General features: G+C 40.9%; 2 protein-coding genes across 23 annotated transcripts in view; one reads left to right on the plus strand and one right to left on the minus strand.

The window, feature by feature from the left end:
- Nucleotides 1-19,531, plus strand: part of C4orf51 (chromosome 4 open reading frame 51) — a 112,298-nt gene extending 92,767 nt beyond the window's left edge. For 4 of the 7 annotated variants that reach the window (XM_047416082.1, XM_047416078.1, XM_047416084.1 and 1 more), the window contains 2 exons: nucleotides 4,475-4,526; nucleotides 9,441-10,010. The gene's annotated coding sequence lies outside the window, so the exon portion shown is untranslated. Of the gene's footprint in view, nucleotides 1-4,474; nucleotides 4,527-9,440; nucleotides 10,011-19,249 lie in introns of those variants that run through there. The other 3 variants (XM_047416079.1, XM_047416086.1, XM_047416083.1) reach the window with 2 other exon arrangements.
- Nucleotides 1-21,837, minus strand: part of ZNF827 (zinc finger protein 827) — a 181,197-nt gene that overhangs the window by 15,286 nt on the left and 144,074 nt on the right. For all 16 annotated transcript variants that reach the window (XM_047449635.1, XM_017007768.3, XM_017007770.3 and 13 more), the window contains 3 exons: nucleotides 6,462-6,599; nucleotides 2,877-3,048; nucleotides 1,594-1,760 (listed from right to left, as the gene is read on the minus strand). In XM_047449635.1, coding sequence (XP_047305591.1) covers nucleotides 1,594-1,760; nucleotides 2,877-3,048; nucleotides 6,462-6,599 — 477 coding nt within the window. The remainder of the gene's footprint in view (nucleotides 1-1,593; nucleotides 1,761-2,876; nucleotides 3,049-6,461; nucleotides 6,600-21,837) is intronic.

The raw sequence follows: 21,837 nt of genomic DNA on the forward strand, positions 1-21,837 counted from the left end.
TTAGTTGTGAAGTTTCCACTCACGACAATTAAATGATGACAAGTCCAGCTTCTGCCTAGCCATATGGTTTCTATGGTTTCTATGGTGGTATGGGTGTGGAGGGGGCTTTGGAGCAGGATGGGAGGGAGGAAGGTTTTCAACTGGGTTCAGGTATACTTTGGAGTAAAGAGGGTTAGAACAAAGGTTAACAGAAAGGAGAAAAAAAAGACTATCTGAAAAGCCAGTGGTAATGGAAAAGAGTTTGGCCTTTTCCTCCATTAGCCACTCCAGAAATGCTGAATTTAATTTGTCTTCAACATGGGTTTCCCAGCTCACCTGCTGCCCACAGGCTAATGTGGTTACAGTCAGACAACTGACTGTAAAAATGGCACCTTCTCACTTGGCATAACGGCTCTCTGCAGACCTCCAAGTCATAGCTGCTCAATTTACTGACAAAAACAAGCTTTTATTACTGTTGGCACCACTGAGCCAAAGTGGCCAGAGAAACACAGAGAGATCCTCCTCTGCTGTGTACATCGTCAGCACAACTGTCAGGGAAATTCCCCTTCCCGAATCCTTCAAGTGCTGATGATGTGAGGGGCTGACCCAACACCCAGGGCTGGCAATCAGCAACATCAGCTCTTAATTTGTAAGCCCCGCAAATGCAGACGGAGCTCCTCCTCATTCTCACTTAATGACTCCTTGCTGGTATCATTTGTAACCATCACTTGTGAGAGTATAATTGCATGGTGAAGTCAGAATGTTAACATCAATAAATGGAAGAAGTTAACCAGAATGGCAAGAAGCTTAAATAACAGGCGAGCACTGGTGAAGCCTTGGCCATGGCCTAGACAGTGATGGGTTTGTTTCAGGAGAATCTGGTTTTCTTTGGCCGCGAACACACATGCCATGCGTCATTAAGGAGAGCGTCAGGGCTGCAGTTTCACTGGAGAGGAACAGAGCCTACAGAAGTAGGTGTGTAGTGCCCTGGCATGGGAAAACAGAAAGGTTCAAAGCTCTGCCAAGTGTTTCTCGGGGCTGTCAGAACAGCAATGATACAGAGAGCAAGCTCTGGAATGAAAACTGTTCTGGGCTGAGTTTCAGTAGTCACTGAAACTAGTGACTACTGAACTAGTGACTGAAACTAGTGACCACAGCAACCCCTAGTTGCTGACCTTGGATGGAATATCTCACCTCTGTTAAGCCTGTTTCTTCACCTGTACTGTACAGTGTGATAATAATAGTATTCACTTAGAGGGTTGCTATGGGGCTTAAATGAGAGCCAGTGTGCAAAGGCATAAGACTGGGGCATTGAAAGACTGTCACATATGGTGATGAGGAAGAGGATCAGGATGAGCAACAAGCAAAGAGCTCGGCACCTCTCAACCACATCTGAACTTGGGAGTCTTTCAGAGCAGTGAGGCACAAGGCATGCCAGGAAACAGTATTATGACTACAGGGAAATGTGGCTTTCATGCCTTGGGAAAGTCCTTCCTTCCATGGAAGGAAAAGGGCAATGTCTCAGGGCAGTGGGGATGCTTCGGCCAGGTGGCAGGTGCTCTGGGGTGCAGGGGATGGAGAAGGAGTGTGAGAAGGACAGACAGGAATGGTCACCTGTGTGCTTGGTGCCAATGTGAGTCTTTATCTCTGCTTCCTCCATGGTGACGAAGTCGCAGGCAGTGCAGCAGATCGAAAACATCCACTGCTCCTTGTCCACGTGGAGTGACATGTGGCTGACAAACTGGACATTGAGCTCGGTCTCAAATCCACACACGTGACAACTACATGAAAGGGTAAAAGAAAAGAGGGGGAGAGAAAAGGGTGACACATACTTCTAAATGTAGGCTGTCCATTTATACACAGTACACTCAAGAAAACTGGAATTTGAAACACATTTGTCTCTCCACCAAAAGGTTTTGCATTAGAAAATTCTTCTGCTTTCTGGGATGCCTCTAAAGTAGTCACTGTGCCAAAGAGACTAAGGGCCAGCATCATGTAACAATCACATATGTGTTATAATGATGCTAAATAATCATAAAGTTAATTTAAAACTATGGATTCCAGATGCTGCACATCACCTAATTGATTTCCTTTGGGCAAAGAGATGTGGGGTAGCATTGCCAAGGTATTTAGTGGTGCCGGTCCACTGATAAACTCGGAGAGCACCTCATAGTCCAGGAACCTCTCTCTGGCTCTGGAAACCTTCCCTAGTAGCAATGAAAGCACCTACAGTTTGTTGTATGGCACTCCAAGCAAGAGGCTACTCTATCCGGGACAACTTCTGATAGAAGCCACCCACTGCTAGAGACATTTCCTGCAAAAGCAAGTTTCCACCAATCAGTATGGCAACTCTCTAGGACAAGATTTGACAGCCAGAAACTTGGGGGTTTTATGGCAATCAAACCAATATTGATTCATGATTGAATACAGAAATGAAACATAAAATCCACATACTAAAGTGTGATACAACCATGGGGAAATACGTAACGCCTTCTGGGCTAGTTCTCTGGGGTTCTCAGATTTATATTTCCTCAGCTTTTTTTTTTTTAAACAATTCTTAGGGAGCAGCAACACACTCAGTTACAAAGGTTGGAGCTTCTGAGCTGAACAGACCTAAAAATTCATCATCCCCAGAGCCCGTCTCTGTCTGGAGCTCCACCCCAGAGAGCCACCTCTAAGACCATTTCTCTTTCAATTAATACCACCAGGGGCACCCAAACCAAGAGAGGAGTCTGTGCAACTGCAGGGCTCAATCTGAGCAAAGAAATTACTCAAATGAAGGCCAGGCTATGACTGAGAAAAGGGGCCTCGTGATGTATGCCCACAGCAGACAGGTAGGAAGTGTTGAAGTCAAGAGTCTGAGAAAGGCGGACTAGCATGTTCCATCTGCAACTCACCTGTAATAATAAGGATGTTTCTTCCCATCACTGCCTTCAGAGGTGACGGCGCTGACAATGTCCTCGGTGTCTGTACTCACCAGCTTCACGGAATGGACGGTCAAGTGCTGGTTCAGATTTGCACGGCACTTAGCAGCATAGGGGCACAAGTGGCATTTGTATTTTCTTTCCTCTGGGGGAGAAGGAACAGGAAAAAGCCCAAATCGCTTTCAAAAAAGGAAGTCCCAACACCTTGCAAGAATCAGTTAAAGGTATCAAGGAAAGAATGGTTCAAGTCATATTTCAGATGGAGACAATGGTAATGCCTAGGAATTGTAAGTATCTAAAAGTCTTTACCCAGCAGGTCACTCCTGTATTAGTACTTCTAAATATAAAAGAAAATCTCCGGCTGGGCACTGTGGCTCACACCTGTAATTCTAGCAGTTTGGGAGGCTAAGACAGAAAGATCACTTAAGGACAGGAGCTCGAGACCAGCCTGGGCATCACAGCGAGACTCCATCTCTACAAAAAAATTTTTAAAAAATTAGTCAGGTGTGGTGGCACGTGCCTGTAGTCCCAGCTACTTGGGAGGAGGAGGTGGGAGGATTGCTTGAGCCCAGGAGGTCAGGGTTACAGTGAACCACAATCACATCACTGCACTCCAGCCTGGGTGACGGAGATAAACCTTGTTTCAAAAAAAAGAAAAAAAAAAAAAAGTCCCAGGGCAACTAGAATAGATAACCTGCTTTTTTTTTCCTGGACACCCACAGCCCATTTTCCTGATAAGGTAAGCCCCACACAGGGCAAAAGAATATTCTGTGAGTGAGCAAGTGTGCATGTCTGTTTGTGTGTGTGTGTGTACCCCATGTGTCAGTCATGGGTGAGTGCTGAGCAGGGGAGGGGGAATAAAACACAGCATTTGCAGGACTACAGCGTAAAAGAGGCCTCATCATTTTCCCTAAGCTCCTGGCCTGGGTCGGCCAAGAAATAAAAAAACTAATGAAATTAAGGGGAAAAAATGCTGTGTGAAATAATTTAATTGGAAATTTCATTTTACATAAATAAAGAATTTCAATTAACTTCTTAATGGAAACCCTCTCATAAAACTGACAAATGTTTCAGGATCGTTTCCAGAGTGGCATTCTGAATTCGTTTGATTAATCAAGCAAATTAAAGTAAAAGGAGCAGGCTTTGCTTTCATCACACAGATAAAGGTAATAGCAGAAGATGAAGGAAAGAACAACTCCAGTGTTCTATCCTTAATGCTTACTTGGTATTACTGTGCCTGGCTTAAAGGAAATACCTGTCTTCTTTAGTTCACAGAGAAGAACATGGAAAAAAGTTCTTCTCTACAAAATATGAGACCATTATTGTTATAGGTGGTCCCCAACATCTTGAAGGGCTGGCATCTGGGCTCAGCAGGGTCAGGGGAGGAGCCCCACTGTCCAGATAAAATGTGTCCTTTCTTTAGAAGTTTTGTGTTTGTATGAATAAGTGAGGTTGTTAAGTTTTGTTATTAAGGTTATGCATCCTCCATAAAGTGAAACTGTGGAGCTTTTTAAATCTTTTTCTATCATTTGGAAAGGTTTAATAACATTGGAATTTCCTCTTCTCAAAAGGTTAGAAAGAACTCACCAGCGAAAATTTCTGGACCTGATGCCTTTATAAACGGTATGTCCTTCATAATTTTTCCAAAATTTCTCTTTGGGAACCGACTGATTCAAGTTCCCTCCCCACTTTGGGTCAATTTTAGTCATTCTGTTTAAATGATCTATGTCATCTAAGTGTTCAGCTTTTTTTCTTAGAGCTTCATTATTCTCCAATAATTCTTTAACATCTTCCACATTGATGATTAGGTTTCCTTTTTCATTCCTAACTTTGAGTATTTTTGCTTCATTTTCTTAATCAGGCTTAACAGGATTTATCTATTTTATGGCCATTTCTTTCTAGACTTTGTTGTTTTATCAATTCCTTAAGATGACCATTAAGTTCCTTTATTTTTGTCTTTCTCTAATTAAAATGTTTACCTCTATAAATTTTCCTCTGACTAGAGCTCTTGCTGTTTGCTCCAGGTTTATGTATGAAGTGTTCTCTATTTCATTCCTTTTAGATGTCTGTTATTTGAATTTTTATTTTCTCCCTTTTTCTTTGGTCCAATTAGGCAGGACATTTTATTGACCCTTACTTATTTAAAATTTCATTTAAGTATGCTCAGAGAATGTGACCTTATAAAACTCCACTTTTTTGAACATGTTAAAGTTTTCCTAAATTTTGTCTTTAGTCGAATTTAAAATTAAAAATATTAAAAATATAAAAAGAAAAGACACCAGTTTGGGCAGCATGGAGAAACCCCATTTCTACAAAAAACTTTTTGTTTTTTTTTGAGACTGAGTTTCGCTCTTGTCACTCAGGCTGGAGTGCAGTGGCACGATCTTGGCTCACTGCAACTTCCACCTCCTGGGTTCAAGCAATTCTCCTGCCTCAGCCTCCTGAGTAGCTGGGATTACAAGCGTGCACCACCACATCCGTCTAATTTTTGTATTTTTAGTAGAGATGGGGTTTCACCACTTTGGCCAGGCTGGTCTCAAACTCCTGACCTCAGGTGATCCACCTGCCTTGGCCTCCCAAAGTGTTGGGATTATAGGCGTGAGCCATCGCGCCCGACAACAAAAACCTTTTTTTTTTAAAAAAGTTAGCTGGGCATAGTGGCAGCGTGCACCTGTAGTCCCAGCTACTCAGAAAGCTGAGATGGAAGGATCACTTGAACCCGGGAGGCAGAGGTTGCAGTTAGCTGGGATGCAGCCACTGCACTCCAGTCTGGGTGACAGAGCGAGACCCTATCTTGGGGGAAAAAAAAGACAAAATTAATCTTGTCTTATTAATACTTCCTGTCTTGCTTTTTAAATTTTGTGTGATGTACGAAATCTTTATTTTGAACTTTTCTTTATCATTTTGTTTTTGTGTTCCCTGTAAATAAGATATATCTGGATTATTTAAAAACCTGATTTCAGTGTAAAAATGGAAATGTTTGATTTTATTATTTCCATCTTGCTTTATGTTTACTACTGATTTTACCTTATGTCTTTTTGTCTTCAATTATTTTTGCTGTGTGGACTAAGTTACTATTTATTCCTCCTTGTTAACTTGGTTGCCTTCCCTTTCCCAACTCTCAGAACCAACCATATTTCTCCACAATTATACATAAATAAAGGCAGAAGCTGTTTCTCCACCAAGGTGCCTTTTCCCTGGCTGCTCCCACCCACAACAATAAGATAAAACCAGTAAGATGGAGTGTGTCCCCCTGTCCTTCACTTTCAAGATGAACTCAATACATTTTTTTTAACAGAGTTTAGGAATTTTACCTGAATAAACCTAAATTGTGTATATTTTCTCATCGGTCCTACCTGGAACTCAATGAACCCTTTCAATACAAATAAAAAAGCCTTTCCAAGGTCTTCTTTAAACATGCCAGAGAAAATGGCTTGAAAAGGTCAGCCATTCCCAGCACTTCCTGTAATGCCTCTCTTAGAGAAACTCAGTTTCCGGAGAGTAAAGAAGTTGGTGATGGAGCATAGAGGGCTGACAGCCCAGGCCCTACTCACTCACCTGTGTGCAGCGAGAGGTGTCGGGACAATGTCTGCTGTCGGCCAAACACTTTCCCACACACGTCACAGGGAAAAAGCTGGTCATTGAATTTCCAGGATGGTAATCCATTTCCTGCCTCTAGGACTATCTTTTCTGTTTCTGGGTCAAAAGAACAAAGCATCATGAGAAATAAGGCAACAAGAATACATTTTCTGTTAGTCAACATTCAGGATTTCAGCAGAGCCTTCTCTCTGAAGAATGTGGCTAGTAATTGCAAATGAGTCTCCGTAACTGGTTTTCCTGCTCATTTCCTGTCTCTAAGAAGGCCGTTCTTGAAAGCTGCGGTGGCAAGTGGATTCCGACCCCTGTCAATTCTTCAGTATTTTCTCTCTTTCTTCACTAAAGACCAGCCAACTAACCCTCTAGTCAGTTGATAGCACTGTGCCCAGTATACAGCAGATACTCAATAAATACTTGTTAAATGAGTTGCCTGAGTTGCATGTTAAAATTCCAGAAATGTAGGCTCTTGCCACAAGGCAGTAAATAAAGAATTGTAGGCTGGGCTTGGTCACTTACACCTGTAATCCCAGCACTTTGGGAGGCTGAGGCGAGTAGATCACTTGAGCTCAGAAGTTCAAGACCAGCCTGGCCAACATGGTGAAACCTTGTATCTACTAAAAATACAAAGAGTAGCTGGGCATGGTGGCGGGTGCCTGTAATCCCAGCTACTTCAGAGGCTGAGGCACGAGAATCGCTTGAAGCTGGGAGGCGGAGGTTGCAGTGAGCTGAGATCACGCCACTGCACTCCAGCCTGGGTGGCAGAGTGAGACGCTGTCTCAAAAACAAACAAACAAACAAACAAACAAACAAAAAAGAATTGTAAATCTCAGATTCTGATGTGAAAATAAATGGTCCTATCCCTTGAAAGGAAATATGCTTTCATTCTCTTTAAGAAGAAAGCTTTGCTCTTCATTCCAGTTTGTGCAAAATCCTTAATGAGGAATTTGTGCTAAGTAGAATCAGTGATAACTACCACACGCTGTGCCACAGAAAATTCCCTAATGCAAGAATGAACCAGAATTTCCCCCAAAGGTCTCATATTTGGGAAAACAGTGCCACAAGTTATCTACCCATAATTCATAGCCATGAATGAAATAAATGGACTTTAATACATTCTCTAATCATCTTAAAGAGTTTTTATTTTCTCATTCTTATCCCTAGGATTACCTTTAATTTTCTAATCCATGTTTCTTTTTGTGGAACTGTACCAGATTATACAAACATTCCTCCTATGATAATGTCATAAAATAGGTGACAGAGAACACCAGAAAGAGAGAAGGAGACACTTCTAAAAGGACACTTGAATGGGCCACTGATAGGCTTTTCACCTCACTTTGAAGACCAAGACAAATGACACACTAAGTTAATATCTTGTCTTTTACCTCAGTAAATAATTGCAAATCTCCTTAAAGCTCAGTACTGCATTATAGAACTGGACACCATGTGGTGATAATTGAATGGTGGTAAGAACTTCTCCTAATCCACGCAGATGAAAATGCTCACGCTGGGTGCAGTGGCTCAAGCCTGTAATCCCAGCACTTCGGGAGGCCGAGGCAGGGGGATCACAAGGTCAGAAGATCGAGACCATCCTGGCTAACACGGTGAAACACTGTCTCCACTAAAAATACAAAAATTTAGCCGGGCGTGGTGGCGGGCGCCTGAAATCCCAGCTACTCAGGAGGCTGAGGCAGAAGAATGGCGTGAACCCGGGAGGTGGAGGTTGCAGTGAGCCGAGATTGTGCCACTGCACTCCAGCCCGGGCAACAGAACGAGACACCATCTCAAAAAAAAAAAAAAAAAAAAAAGAAAAAAAAAGAAAAAAAAAAAAAGAAAATGCTCACAACATGGGTCAGAGATAACATCAGAAGAAAAAACTTTATTTCACACAATTTGGCTAAAACTGCTTCCCAAATACAGGCTTCCACCTGTATGTGGCTAAATCAATGGGATCAATTTTCACTGGAATGATTTGCCAGATAGGGAAGAAGAAACAAATATGAATATATGTCTGGAAATGGGAGGAGGGGAAATGATGGTGAAATTGCAATAATGTTCGCTGTGAGGCACCTGCCAGCAATCCCAACACTGATAAAGCACATGAACTGATTCATCTGTGTTTGTTAAAACATAGCACTTGGGGCCTCAGGAAGAAGGGTTGCTCTTATTAAAGTAGAAATGTGTGACTAAAAACCTCTAAAGGGGAAGAGGGCAGAAATGTGGGTGAAGAGAAGTAAAAAAAAAGGGAGATGAACTTCTGAGGACAAGAACTACTCTTAAACAGCTGTCCTTGAGTCCACGCAGTGGGCATTTCAGCTGTGCATGAATTTCAGTATATCAGTAGCTCCTTTTAAGTGTATAATCAAAACAGTGCTTCAAAGAACAATAACGGTAATAATTATAAGGAGAGGTCAAGAGGGTACAGGGTCTGTTAATACATTCACAACAAGAATGAATGAATTGGGTCAAATATCAAATAAGTAGATGCAATTAAAAATAGATAAGCACCTTAATAATTCCTTCAAGTATCAATCATGTACTCGAGAAGCTGAAGCATCATGAACTGTCTGATTCCGTCCACTGGTCTTAGAAAATGATGAAAGCTACCGAGGCTGTGCTGCAGCTGAGTGGGAAGAATCCCCGGAGTCGCAGTGAGGCAGGCAGTTGTCACGGGGCACCCATGACTGCTCAGCCACAGTCCCACGCCCAACTCCAAGCCTCGTCTAGGAATCGCTGCTCTCCCCACCTCATGTTTGCATTTGCTACAGCAATCCATTTTTATTTTGCACACAGGAACAAGGCAACCACAGGCCATTTGGAGTCTTATCCCAGAACATGACCTCGAAATCACGGCTGGGTGGGGCCTGGCGGAAGAGGCAGTCGGGGGAGGAGTATTACTGTGGCAACACAAGACCTGAAGCAAAGGCCCGTTCTTTTTTCCAGGAGCTGAGATGAGATGAAGCTGAAATGGGGCTCAGCAAATGCCACACTCTCCTGCATCTCCTGTGAATGATGCCACCCAAGTGCCATGTGAGAAACTTTGGAATCTTTTTTGATTCCTCCCCCGACTCTCTTTCAACACATCCAATCAGTCACCAGAAGCTGGTGATCTTATGCAGGTCTTTCTAGACCTCACTGCCTTAATTGTGTCATCATCTTTCACCAACATTGTGGCAAAAGCCTCCAAAACAGGTTCTCTGCTATCAGACCCCTTCCAACAGCCCTTCCTCACCTCACAGATTCCAGAATGATCTTTCCGAGGCACAAATCTCATCATGTCTTGTTCTGTATGGCAAAGGCTCCTCAAGGCCAAACTTCTGGCTTCTGAGTCCTTCATGGCCTGGCTTTGGCCACCTCCCACCACCCGAATGCTTGGCAAAGTAGACTGCTTGACTTTTCAGGAACAAACAATTCCCTTTTAAGTGTCATTGCTTTTGAATCAACTGTTCCTCCACCAAAAGCTACTCCCCGCAACTACTTCTGTACAATAAACTCAGACTCAATTTGAAGCCCTATCTCAGATTTTATCTCCTTGGTGAAGCCCTGCCCAATTCCCAAGGTAGAGTTAGTCATTTCCCCTGCTCTGTCCCAGGGAACTTTTATGAATATTTCCGTTGTACCACTTTTCCTATTATATCACTTGTTTACATATCTTCTATAAGCCATATATATATATATTCTGCATATAAAGCACCCAGCATAGTCCAACGTGAAGCAGTACTCAGTCAACACGTCCCCTGGCCTCCCTTCCCTGGGGTAAAGGTTTTGCATTATTTATTTGTGTATCCTCAGCATTAGCACAATCTCTGCTACATAAGAGGTGCTTAGTATATATTTGTTGAATAAATGAATGACTGAATAAAAGGGTCCAAGTGAGGTGAATAGACATTATTCTTATTTTATAGTAGGAAAGACTAATAATTTAGTAGCATTCATTAAGGCCTATGGCCAATTCAGAATGAAAAATCAGGCTACCTGCCTTTTGAATTGCTGTTTTAACTCAATTCACTAACTGCTTTCATGATTCTATTAGTGGAAATGTTTGCAGTCCTGAGCCATACTCCTAAAGGCTCTAAATTCTTACCTCTTCCCAATAGCATCAAGCCACAAGATGATTCTCTTTATGATGAACTCTGGCAGTTGCTATTTTCAGTTAACCCAACAGTCATTCTCAACTTTCCTTATCCCCTGCCTTCTCCAGCCATGGAAGCGGCTTGGGTAGCCATGTGCCAAAGTTCTGAGAAGGCTTTTGCTTTTCTGTTAAAATGAAGGATATACTGGTATTGACCCCTTCTCTTTTCCAGCCTTGATCACAGAAGAAATGGCTGGGACTCTGGCAGCCATTTTGTGAATATAAGGCATGAAGACAAAAGCCAACTCCCAAGGATGGAGAAAGGGAAAGATGGGAAAAGTATAGGTCCTTGATGTGGTTTGGTTCTGTGTCCCTGCTTAAATCTCATGTCAAATTATAATTCCCAGTATTGGAGGTGGGGCCTTGTGGGAGGTGATTGGATCATGGGGGTGGAGTTCTCGTGAATGGTTTAGCATGGTCTCTCTGGTGCTGTTCTCATGATAGTGAGTTCTCACGAGATCTGGTTGTTTAAAAGTGTGCAGCACCTTCCCCTTCTCTATTCCTACTGCTCTGGCCATGTAACATGTGCCTGCTTCCCCTTCACTTTCCACTATGATGGAAAGTTTCCTGAGGCCTCCCCAGAAGCCAAGCAGATGCCAGCATCATGCTTCCTGTACAGCCTATGGAACTGTGAGCCAATTAAAACCCTTTCATTGTAAATTACCCAGTATTTCTTGATAGCACTGCAGGAACTGAGTAATACAGTCCTCTGTGGCATTTCTCAGTAGCTGAGTGAACGCCAGCAACCACCCACTTTTGGACTTTTTGTTTTGTGAGGGAAATAAGTCCCTGTTTGTTTCAGCCACCGTTGGTTGGGTTTTCTATTACTTATAACACTCTTAACTGAAGGCTCCTCCTATGGTTCCTCTTGGTCTTAGGACTTTGAACATTAGGTTCCACCTTTTGACAGGCTTTAATTCCCAAAATCCCCCATCCTGTGAAGAACTCTCCATATTCATTATCAACAGCAACAAGTGTACACCCAGCTGAACACATTTCCATCTTAATTATCTTCTTCTGTTGGGAAAGAAAAACCTTAAAACTTCTTTTAGATTACTCAGGAATTTCCTTTAAAAAAACTTTTTATGAAGCATAATATTTGTAAAAGAAAAGTGCACATATCAATAACTGCTTTTAAGTTAGTTCCAAAGTCACAAAACAGCTTGGAATATGGGTACTGTTTTTAAATTTTTGCTCTTCTTCATCTTGATTCCCACATCCCTTAGCATTTGTTTCATTATTTTACATAGCTTGAATGTATACTTAAGATTCTCTTCATTTCTTTTTGAAATACTTGTCTAATGGTAACCTCTTTTTTTGTACAGAGTCTCATAGGATTTTGTCTCTTATAAAGCATTTTATTTCATTTCACACTCTTATATTCTGATCCCTGGGATAACCATAAATTGCTTCCAGAAATTCCTGGCTACTCGGTATTATGTGATCAGATGTTTTTTCTCTACTTTTCCACCTATGATGTTTGCCTTGAATGTCATTTGGGCTTTTCCTCTTCCTTATATAGGTTTTTGTTTTAAATGAAGCAAATAGGTGTGTAGGATTAAGCACTTTTGTCCTTACAGTATGGCTAGAAAAGTAGGAACACAGTGTAAGGAGAACGATCTCATCTTAGCAATCCCAAAACAAGGCTTTCAGCTCCTCCTGTTAATGGTGAACTGAGGCCTATCATCCATAATGATGAGGACTAGTTGGCCAAAATACAATAGAGCAAACTATGCTTCTTATAACCTAGTTATTCAAGGGGACATGTCTCATTTCATGCGTAGGTCCTGGGAAGATGAAACCCATCCAGCATGCCTCCAAAAACTTTCCTTAATTAAACCCATTCGGTAGAATTTAGGAAGGAGTTCTATCAAAATCTGCTTGACAATACATTATTATCAAGTAGAGCACTCAGTTATCTTCAGATCCAATTTGTTCATTTTCAGGAGGATAAAAATGAAGCATTATATTCCAGGACCTCTCCTGCCCCAGAGTAACCCACAACTGTTGCCCAAGGTTGGGCAACAGTTTCCACAGTAACTAAGTCTCTATCCTGCCCCAAATCTTAGTTCAAGGAGGAACCTGAACGATCATCTTGTTCAATGTTTTCTGTTTTATATATAAGGGAACTGAGGCCAAGAGAACCTAAGTAATTACCCCAGGTAACCTGGCTAGTGACTCTGGGAGAGCAGAGACAGACCCACGGTGTCATTCAAGCTCTTCCAAGCCACATGAAATCAATGCCAAAGTCTACAAACAAACAAAGGAGGGATTTTTCTTCTCTTCCTGTTCTTTGGCTCTGAGTTTAATACTCTTGGTTACACATGTGCAGATTTAGCAACAATCCAGACACTAGCACTTTTCTCCATTTCTGTTATTAAAAGTATAAGCCTAGAATATTTCCAGGCACAGAGATGTTAGAAAGTGTAATATGTCAAAACTTACAATAAAGAAGGAACAAGAGGAAGATCAACTAGGGAAGTCCTAACAGCCAATCCTCTCTGAGGTAAACATGGTATTACTGAAGAAAGTTCCCTTGAACCTTTCATTGCCATTTGGGGAGCATTTTTGGTAAAATTAAACAAACAAACAGATAAGCAAAACCTCAAAAAACAACAGGGACAAAGAAAAAGACTTTAGTTTGTTTCCTTTCAATTTTAACATAATTTGACCCTATATTTGGTGTATTGTTTGGCTTTGTGGGCACATTTTACTGTGTGAAAAGATCCCTGTATTCCCTGACAAAACAGTCCTCTCAAAGAACCATCTCTCAACCTGATTTTGGTAAAAGAAATGCTAAGACAGAAGGCTTTATTTGGCGACAGCTGTAAGCAAAAGATTGGCCAAAATATGACCTCAATGCATAAATAACTGTTCAGATCAACTAAATCTCATTACTGAAGAAGAGGCTCTGGGGCCGCTTGGGTTTTCCATTGTGACATATGGTATTTTGATCACTTCTTTCTTTCATGATCAAGGCTGGAATGTTTTGAGGCATACCTCAAACTGAAATTCTGAAATCCTCTGTAGTCTTGGATAGGTTAAAACCTACCAGGTCATTTTCCATGCAGAAAGCAGAGGGCATGGAACTTTCTGGTCAGACTCCAGCCCTACTGGCTCTGTCCTTTGGTTTCATGGGTTCTGCATGGCCTCTGCTTAAAACAAGCTACCACCTTCTGAGGGCTGCTTGTGAAGCTAAGAGTCAGCTGTGGTTATGACTCTTTGGGGGTTAATATCTTTGTTCCAGTGCTTGCAGCTCGTCTGTATCCCTTTTTAATTTTTTCAGAGTCATTTCAATTTAGGGTTACTTGCCAACATCTACCGTTTTAGAATTTCCAGCTCAGAGGATCTACCTTGCAGTGTCACAGCTGTACTGGAACAGCAGCCACAATGCAGATGGCTGGCACTGGTGACCTGTCCCATCATTTCATTTACTACTGGTGACCCTGCACAAGATGCCAGAAGTGTTGCTCATGCCAGTCCTAACAGACTTACTAGGCTCCCTATGACCACCTCTCTGCAGGTCTTGGCAGAACCAACTTCCCCTTTAAGGACCATTACACTCACCCAAAGATTTCTGCTGGCCAAGGTGTTACCTCAATGAACTGCTAAGATAGAAGAATTGAGAAATAGTTTTTGTCGGCCGGGCGCAGTGGCTCAGGCCTGTAATCCCGGCACTTTGGGAGGCCGAGGCGTGTGGATCACAAGGTCAGGAGTTCGAGAACAGCCTGGCCAACATAGTGACACCCCGTCTCTACTAAAAATACACAAATTAGCTGAGCGTGGTGGCGCGCGCCTGTAGTCCCAGCTACTCAGGAGGCTGAGGCAGGAGAATCGCTTGAACCCGGAGGTAGAGATTGCAGTGAGCTGAGACCACGCCATTGCACTCCAGCCCGGGTGACAGAGTGAGACTCCGTCTCAGGAAAAAAAAAAAAAAAAAAAAGAAATAGTTTTTGTCAATCTGTGCTCAGTTAGAAACACTGGGTGGAGATTCTTTTTAGATGTAAGAGTTAACAGCCTTGATCTTCTTTGGGCTCATTTCAACCTCCAATGCTTAACAAACTTAGTAAAGTAGAATTTTGCATTACTACTTTCAGGGGGTCCATGCACAGGCCCTGGGAATATGAAACCTGTCAAGCATGTCTCCAAAAATTTTTATTAATTAAACCCATCTGATAGAATTCAGGTGACAGTTCTATCAAACTCTGTTTGACAGAGCATTAGATCAAGTAGAGGACTCTGATACTTCCAATCCAACTCCTTCATTTTCAGGAGGGCAAAAATGAAGCCTGACACTCCAGGACTTCTCAGACCCCAGGGCACCCCACATCTTGCACAGGGTCAAGTAACCGTTTCCACAGTAATTAAATCTCCATCCTGCCCCAAACCCAAGATCAAGGAGGAATCTTAACAATCATTTTTTTCAAAGTTGCTGTTTTACATATAAGAAAACTGAGGCCTAGAGAAACTGAGTAATGACCCCAGGTAACCTGCCTAGTGACTCTGGGAGAGCAGAGACAGACCCACAGTCTGCCTGCTCCTCTAAGCCATATGAAATCAATGCTAACTGCTTAGTAAACAGCTGCTTCTGAAAAATCATCCCAGGAAAACTGGATAACCATTTTTTTTTGCTTAGTGCTAGGTAACAGCTTAAAAAATACTTACTGATTGATTTGTATCGTAAAGAACTGTGTTTCTATATCTGGTTCTTTATGCAGGTCATATTAAATCAATAGTAGAAAACTGGACCTTGATTCCTTGGGTAACAGAAATGGCTAGTACTAGGTGCCCCTAATTCCAGTGAGGCTGATCACATAGAACTTGAGCACCATAGGGACCTTCTCTAAGCCTCCAAATGTAGATAGTCACTGCCAGAATCCAGGCCAATTGATGGCTGCCATTATAACAATAATCATTTTAAGAAAACTATATAACTTAATCCTTTACAAAATCCATGTATGAAAAGTTGGATGTTGCTTCTATGTTTTCCCTGTACTTGTACTTCCAAGATTAGTGGGATCCTCTATAAAACCTTATTGAATAAATGATATAATCACATCACCAAGATCAGGACTGTTGTACTGAACAGCAACCTAATTTTATATTACAACATGGAAGCAAACTGACAATATTGATTCAGGAATCATGTCTAAAGGACCTGGTTATTATCTTGCCCATTACACAGACCAGTGACCACTTCTCTTCTTAATGATGATGGTAAGATTTAAGGTCTTAGCAATGGGCCCTCAGAATGTCCCAATGTTGAGGCCATTTATAAGTCTTTGTTAGAAAAGTAATCAGGCCTGAAAATCATGTCTTTTTTGTTTGTTTGGCTTTGTGGCAGAAACTGATGTTTATTTACTCAATGTCTAACAGAACTATGTGGGTTTTTGTTTTGTTTCCAGGTGGCAATGTGCCCAGTTAAAAACATACGTTCCTTACTAGCTTCCACTGCTATTAGAGGCTGGTCATGAAACATAGTTCTAGACAATGAGATATAGGTGGTAGTTCCTATAAAGACTTTTGCCCTTCACTCTGCCTCCTCCTTCTTGGCTGTCTGAAGGTACCACAGCTTTCTTTCAATCACGAAGATGAAAGCCATTGATAAGGGTGGAGGAGCAGAAAATTAAATGGTGGGTCCTCGATATTTTCCTCAAACAGCTATACTAGCCTTACATTGCCTATTTCTGAATTCTTTATTATGGGGGAAAAACAGATCCATAATTGGTTAAGTCTCTGTGGTTAAGCTGAACATGATTCCAACAGATAAAGACTTAAAGTGCATAAATAGTTTCATCCAATTTTGGCAGTTTATCTCCATTATGCAAAACAATATCAGAGTTTGTTAAAAGTATATTAAGGAGACAGTACATAATTAAAACAATAGCTTATATTTATGGAGGACTGACCACTGCATTAGTCACTATATGATGCATTTTACACACATATTTAATATTTAACCTTATAGCAGCACTATGTATTAGACACTATTATTATCATTCTTATTTTACAACACAACAAAACAAAAGCAAAAACAGTATCAGGCTCAGGGTGGCTGAACTCAACGTCACCTAGCTGGTAAGTGATAGCCTTTCCCAAACCCGAATCTGTCTGACTACAAAGCCCATACTCTCAACCATTTATTACATTATACTAGAAGACCAAAAAGGAAAATCTAATGGTTCTAATTTATTTCACCAGAGACAGATCTTCTGTCTGTTACAATCTCGATTTGTTCCACTGTAAATTCACCAACCATAAAGAAGAAGCATCCATGATCACATAAATCTAAAGAGAGCTTTATTGAGGCAACCTAAATGCTTCCCCCAGGGCCTGCCTGGAGAGAGAATGGTGGAATTTGGAGGCTCTGCCTCTTTTCTGTTACCCAACTCCTCTTTGGCCTCTTCTTTACATCTTTACATCTGGTGAGCTGCTGCATATGAAAAATCTGAGCACCAATTATGTAAATTTTAATCATAAAACTTATTTCAGGTCAGCTTTCACTTGCTCCAGAATGAGACCCTTATAGTCTGTTCTTTCAACTTTTCCCAGTGAAGAAAAATAACAGGCATTCAAGTGCAGAGTTACCTAAAGACTGTATTAGGTGACAGCAAATCTTTAAATTCAAAAGTTATCTTCTATAATTTACTATAAAATATGGGCACATATGAGAACACCTTGAGGAAAAACATTATCATTGTTTGGGCAGATATAAGAATTTCCTCTTTTCTCTTGTTTGTCATTGAACTAGGTTTTCAATATATATTAATACTTACTGAATAAGTGAGGAAAGGAATAAACTAAATGAAAAGAACAGATCACTATAATTAAAAATTTAATGATTCTAAAATACTCTAATATTCTAGAAATACTCTGAGTTTAGAAAGTAAATCCAGACTTTCTAAAATACTAAAATTTTAATGTTAATTTACTCCTGAAATGTTGCAATGTGCTATGCATCACACCTATAGAGTTTTTAGAATACTGAATATATTTCTTTTTAAAATTCAAGTCACAGTCATTTCCAGATATTATTCAAGTAAGCCTCTAGGGATTCTGCAGTTCTCTTCACTAAGATTGGAATCCACTGGTATCCTCAATTATTCTAGTCTTCTTTTCTTATGGACAAGTCTTGATCATATCAATCATTCCTTTAAAGATTTCTAAATTTCCTTAAAGCCCTTATCAGCTCCCAGACACTGCAATATTCTTGTGTGACTACATCCAGTTTCAAATTTTCAGTCTTCCTCTTTCTCTGCTCCTAACCTATTGAATTCTGTATTAACAGGAAATATAACTATTCTACTTTGCCTTTCTCCTGACCTTGGGTTTTAGCACATTATAACATTTTTGTTAGTTGATGGCAGATTTAACATTTTAAGGCAACAGTGGTCACAAATATTTTTTCTCCTTCATCCAGAAATCCTACCTATTTGATTAGGCAGTTATATGTTTTTATATGATGGGAGTTTCTGTTTGTTGGTTTATGTAATTATTTTTCCTCAGGCAGGGAATCACAGACACAGGACTGGGAAATACTGTGTGTCTTAGTTCATTCAGGCTGCTATAACAAAACACTGGATGGCTTATAAACCACAGAAATGTTTTTCTCACAGTTCTGGAGGCTGAGAAGTCCAAGATCAAGGCACTGGCAGATTCAGTGTCTGGGGAGGCCCTGCTTCCTCACAGACAGCCATCTTTCTCACTCCACCCTCACATGGCAGAAGAGGCAAGGGGTCTTTTATAAGGGCCTCTTTTATAGGGGCACTAATCCTAGTCATGAGGGCTCCACTCCCAAGACCTAAGCACTTCCCAAAGGCTCCATCTTCTACATAGCATCACTTTAGGGGTGAGGATTTTAATGTATGAATTGAAATGGGGGGACATAAACATTTAGACCATACCACTTTGTTAGCTAGGAGAGGAGGAAAGGGATTATTAGTATTTTCCTGTGAACGTATGTCATAATGATTGGCAGCACTGATAATTAGTTACCAGTAATAATAAGTAGCATAGTTGGCAAATATTTTATTTTTTATATAAATAAAATAGGCCATCTCTATTATATCATTCTCAATAATTTGAATACACATATACTTTCTTTAATGGTTAAGAAAACTTTGGATTTAGGTATAGCTGAAAGAGGAATTATACATACGAATAGCTAAGATTTATTTAGCACTGATTTTACTCTGGGCACCGTGCTAAGGCTACAGGTTTTACTTATATAATTTCATTTAACTCTCTTAACAAAAGATTAAGGTTGGCCTCATTATTATCCTCATTTTATAGATGAGACAAATCAAGGCACAGAATTGATTATGAAATCAGCTTGTTCTTACATAGCTGGTAAGAGGGACAGCCAGGATTAAACCCAGGATGCCCAACTAGGAAGCGTATGTACTCTACAGCTTCCCTTATACTGCACACAATTCTAGCTGTGTCCATGGGATGTGTCATTCCTCTTTGCAAAAACCTCTGCTTTCTATGACAAAGTAGATAAAGGCTGATAGCCTTGAGGCTGAGCTTCTGGCCTCAAGATTTCTATGAGATGGTGACCTCGTTTTGGACCTGGTGCTAAGGAGGCCAATACCATGTGTTAAATGTTTCTCTTTCCTAGGTGGCAAGTGCTGCTGCATTTCATGGCCTCAGATCAAAATACAACCTCATTAGCTGCTGTGAACACAACGTTCCTGTTGAAGAATAGAATGGAATGGAGTTAAGAGTGTAGAAGGTCTGATGCAAATTTACTCCTACTCCTATTGACAAAGAGTTTGAACTACTGAATTTGTATATGAAAGTCAGGGCATCCTATTGTTTTCAGTTGTCATAAGAAAAAAAAAAAGAAAAAAAAGAAATGGCATTACTACTGTCAATATAAATAAATGAAAAATCTAAGCTACTTCTGTTTGTCATTTCAGGATTGAGAAATGGACTTTTGGCTCACAAACCAGAAATATATATATCCAAAAGCCTAGGAATAGATATATAATTTTTTTTTTTAAGAGACAGGGTCTCACTTTGTCACCCAGGCTAGAGTGCAGTGGCATGGTCACAGCTAACTGCCGCCTCGAATTCCTGGGCTCGAGCAATCTGTCCGTCTTGGCCTCCCAAAGTGCTGGGATTACAGGTCTGAGCCACTGCGCCTGGCTTGGGATATTTTTAAGCAACAGATAATATTCAATAATTCAACTCCAAAGTAGTTGAGCAAAAGAAGTACCTGTATTTAAAAAAGATGTCTTCCTTCCATTTCAATTTTCAAATTGAAAAGGAATTCAAATAAATTAAATTAAAAAATCAATGTAAAATTTTGGCTACAAATAAAACTAGAGAAAGATCAAATAATAAACTGCAAAATATGGCAGGACTACTTTACTCTTGCGTGGAAATGCAATACATTCTAGTTACGTGCCCTGTTACTGTAGGTTGTTTGTGTGTTGATTTTTCTCATGCATTATGACTTGGCCACCTTGGAAAGTGTCTCTTCCTACCCTCTCTCATTACATAGATCTTAAATATAATAGACAATAAATATTTGTGGATTTGCTTAAAATTCCACTAGCTATAGGCAAGAGAAAACATGCATGGATGCATGACATATGTAATTTAATGTCAATAACTTCCACATAGACAAGGCTGAGAAGTCCCAGCCTGTGCACACTGCACCCTTTCTGTATTAGGGTTCCCTAGAGTGACAGAACTAAGAGATATATATATATATATCTCTTATATATATATAATATATATATGATATATATCTTATATATACTTATATATAATATATATCTTATATATATATAAAAAGAGGAGTTTATTAAGTTTTAACTTACACTATCATAAGGTCCACAATAGGCTGTCTGCAAGCTTGAGGACCAAGGAGAGCCAGTCTGAGTCTCGAAACTGAAGAACCTGGAGTCTGATGTTCAAGGGCAGGAAGCATCCAGCATGGGAGAAAGATGTCGGCTGGGAGGCTAGGCTGGTCTTACCTTTTCATGTTTTTCTGCCTGCTTTATATTTGCTGGCAGCTGATTAGATTGTACCCACCAGATTAAGGGTGGGTCTGCCTTCCCCAGCCCACTGACTCAAATATTAATCTCCTTGGCAACAGACACACAGGCACACCCAGGATCAATACTTTGCATCCTTCAATCCAATCAAGTTGACACTCAGTATTAACCATCACACTTTCCTACCCCATAACAGAAAGCTGTTACCTCTAACTTTGATGTTAAAAGTTCAACCTCAAAAGGTCTTTGGAGACCTTCCCTCAGCAGAATCTTTGCCTCATCTTTGGTGAATTAGGGAGAACTGGAAGAAGGCATAGTATTCCTTCTAGTTCATAGAGAACTTGAGATGTGGATAAGCTAATTGCTTGCCTAAGGTCCTCCAGTGAAACTCTGACTGGGGGGAAGTCAGTCTCAGCTCAGCTCCCTCTTCACCTCATCCCCCTGCCTCCCCACATGCTGAGGTTCAGGTTCTTAATCACACTACATACTAAAGGCTTTGCAGAACTAATCGGTCTTCAACCATACACTGTTTTACGGAACGTGTACTAGAGCGGAGAACAGATGTCACCATGAGAATCTTATTTTCTGCTATTTCCCGATTTTGGCCTGTGAACATTTGTAACCTTAATGTTGCATGAACAAAGATTTTTGCATTTAATACTAATATGGGAACTCACAGATCCTCCTTCTCCAGTTGGAAGTGTGCCACATTCTGATTTCAACAGTGTATGGCTGCTTTTTCAGCGTGTGAATTTGCCTCAATGTCCTGTTGGTGTCTTCTGAGCTGAAAATGTGGTCACATTCTAGTCTTACAGGAGATAATGTCAGGTAAAACATCTAGAGATATTTACATTTGTCACTTTCAAAGCACACATAGCCTGCAATCCCAGCACTTTGGGAGGCCAAGGTGGGAAGACTGCTTGAGCCTAGGAGTTGGATACCAGCCTGGGCAACATGGCAAAACCCTGTCTCTACAAAAAGTACAAAAATTAGCCAGGTATGGTGGTGTGTGCCTGTAGTCCCAGCTACTCAGAAAGCTGAGGCTGGGCGGGGTGGGGATGGGATAGGATGGGATGGGATGGGAATTGCTTGAGCCCAGGAGGTTAAGGCCACTGCACTTCAGCCCGGGCGACAGGGCGAGACCCTGTCTCAGAAGAAAAAAAAATAGCACATACATACCCAACACCAGTAAAGGCCGATG

This window comes from Homo sapiens, chromosome 4 (assembly GCF_000001405.40).
Source record: "Homo sapiens chromosome 4, GRCh38.p14 Primary Assembly".
Lineage (NCBI taxonomy): Eukaryota > Metazoa > Chordata > Mammalia > Primates > Hominidae > Homo > Homo sapiens.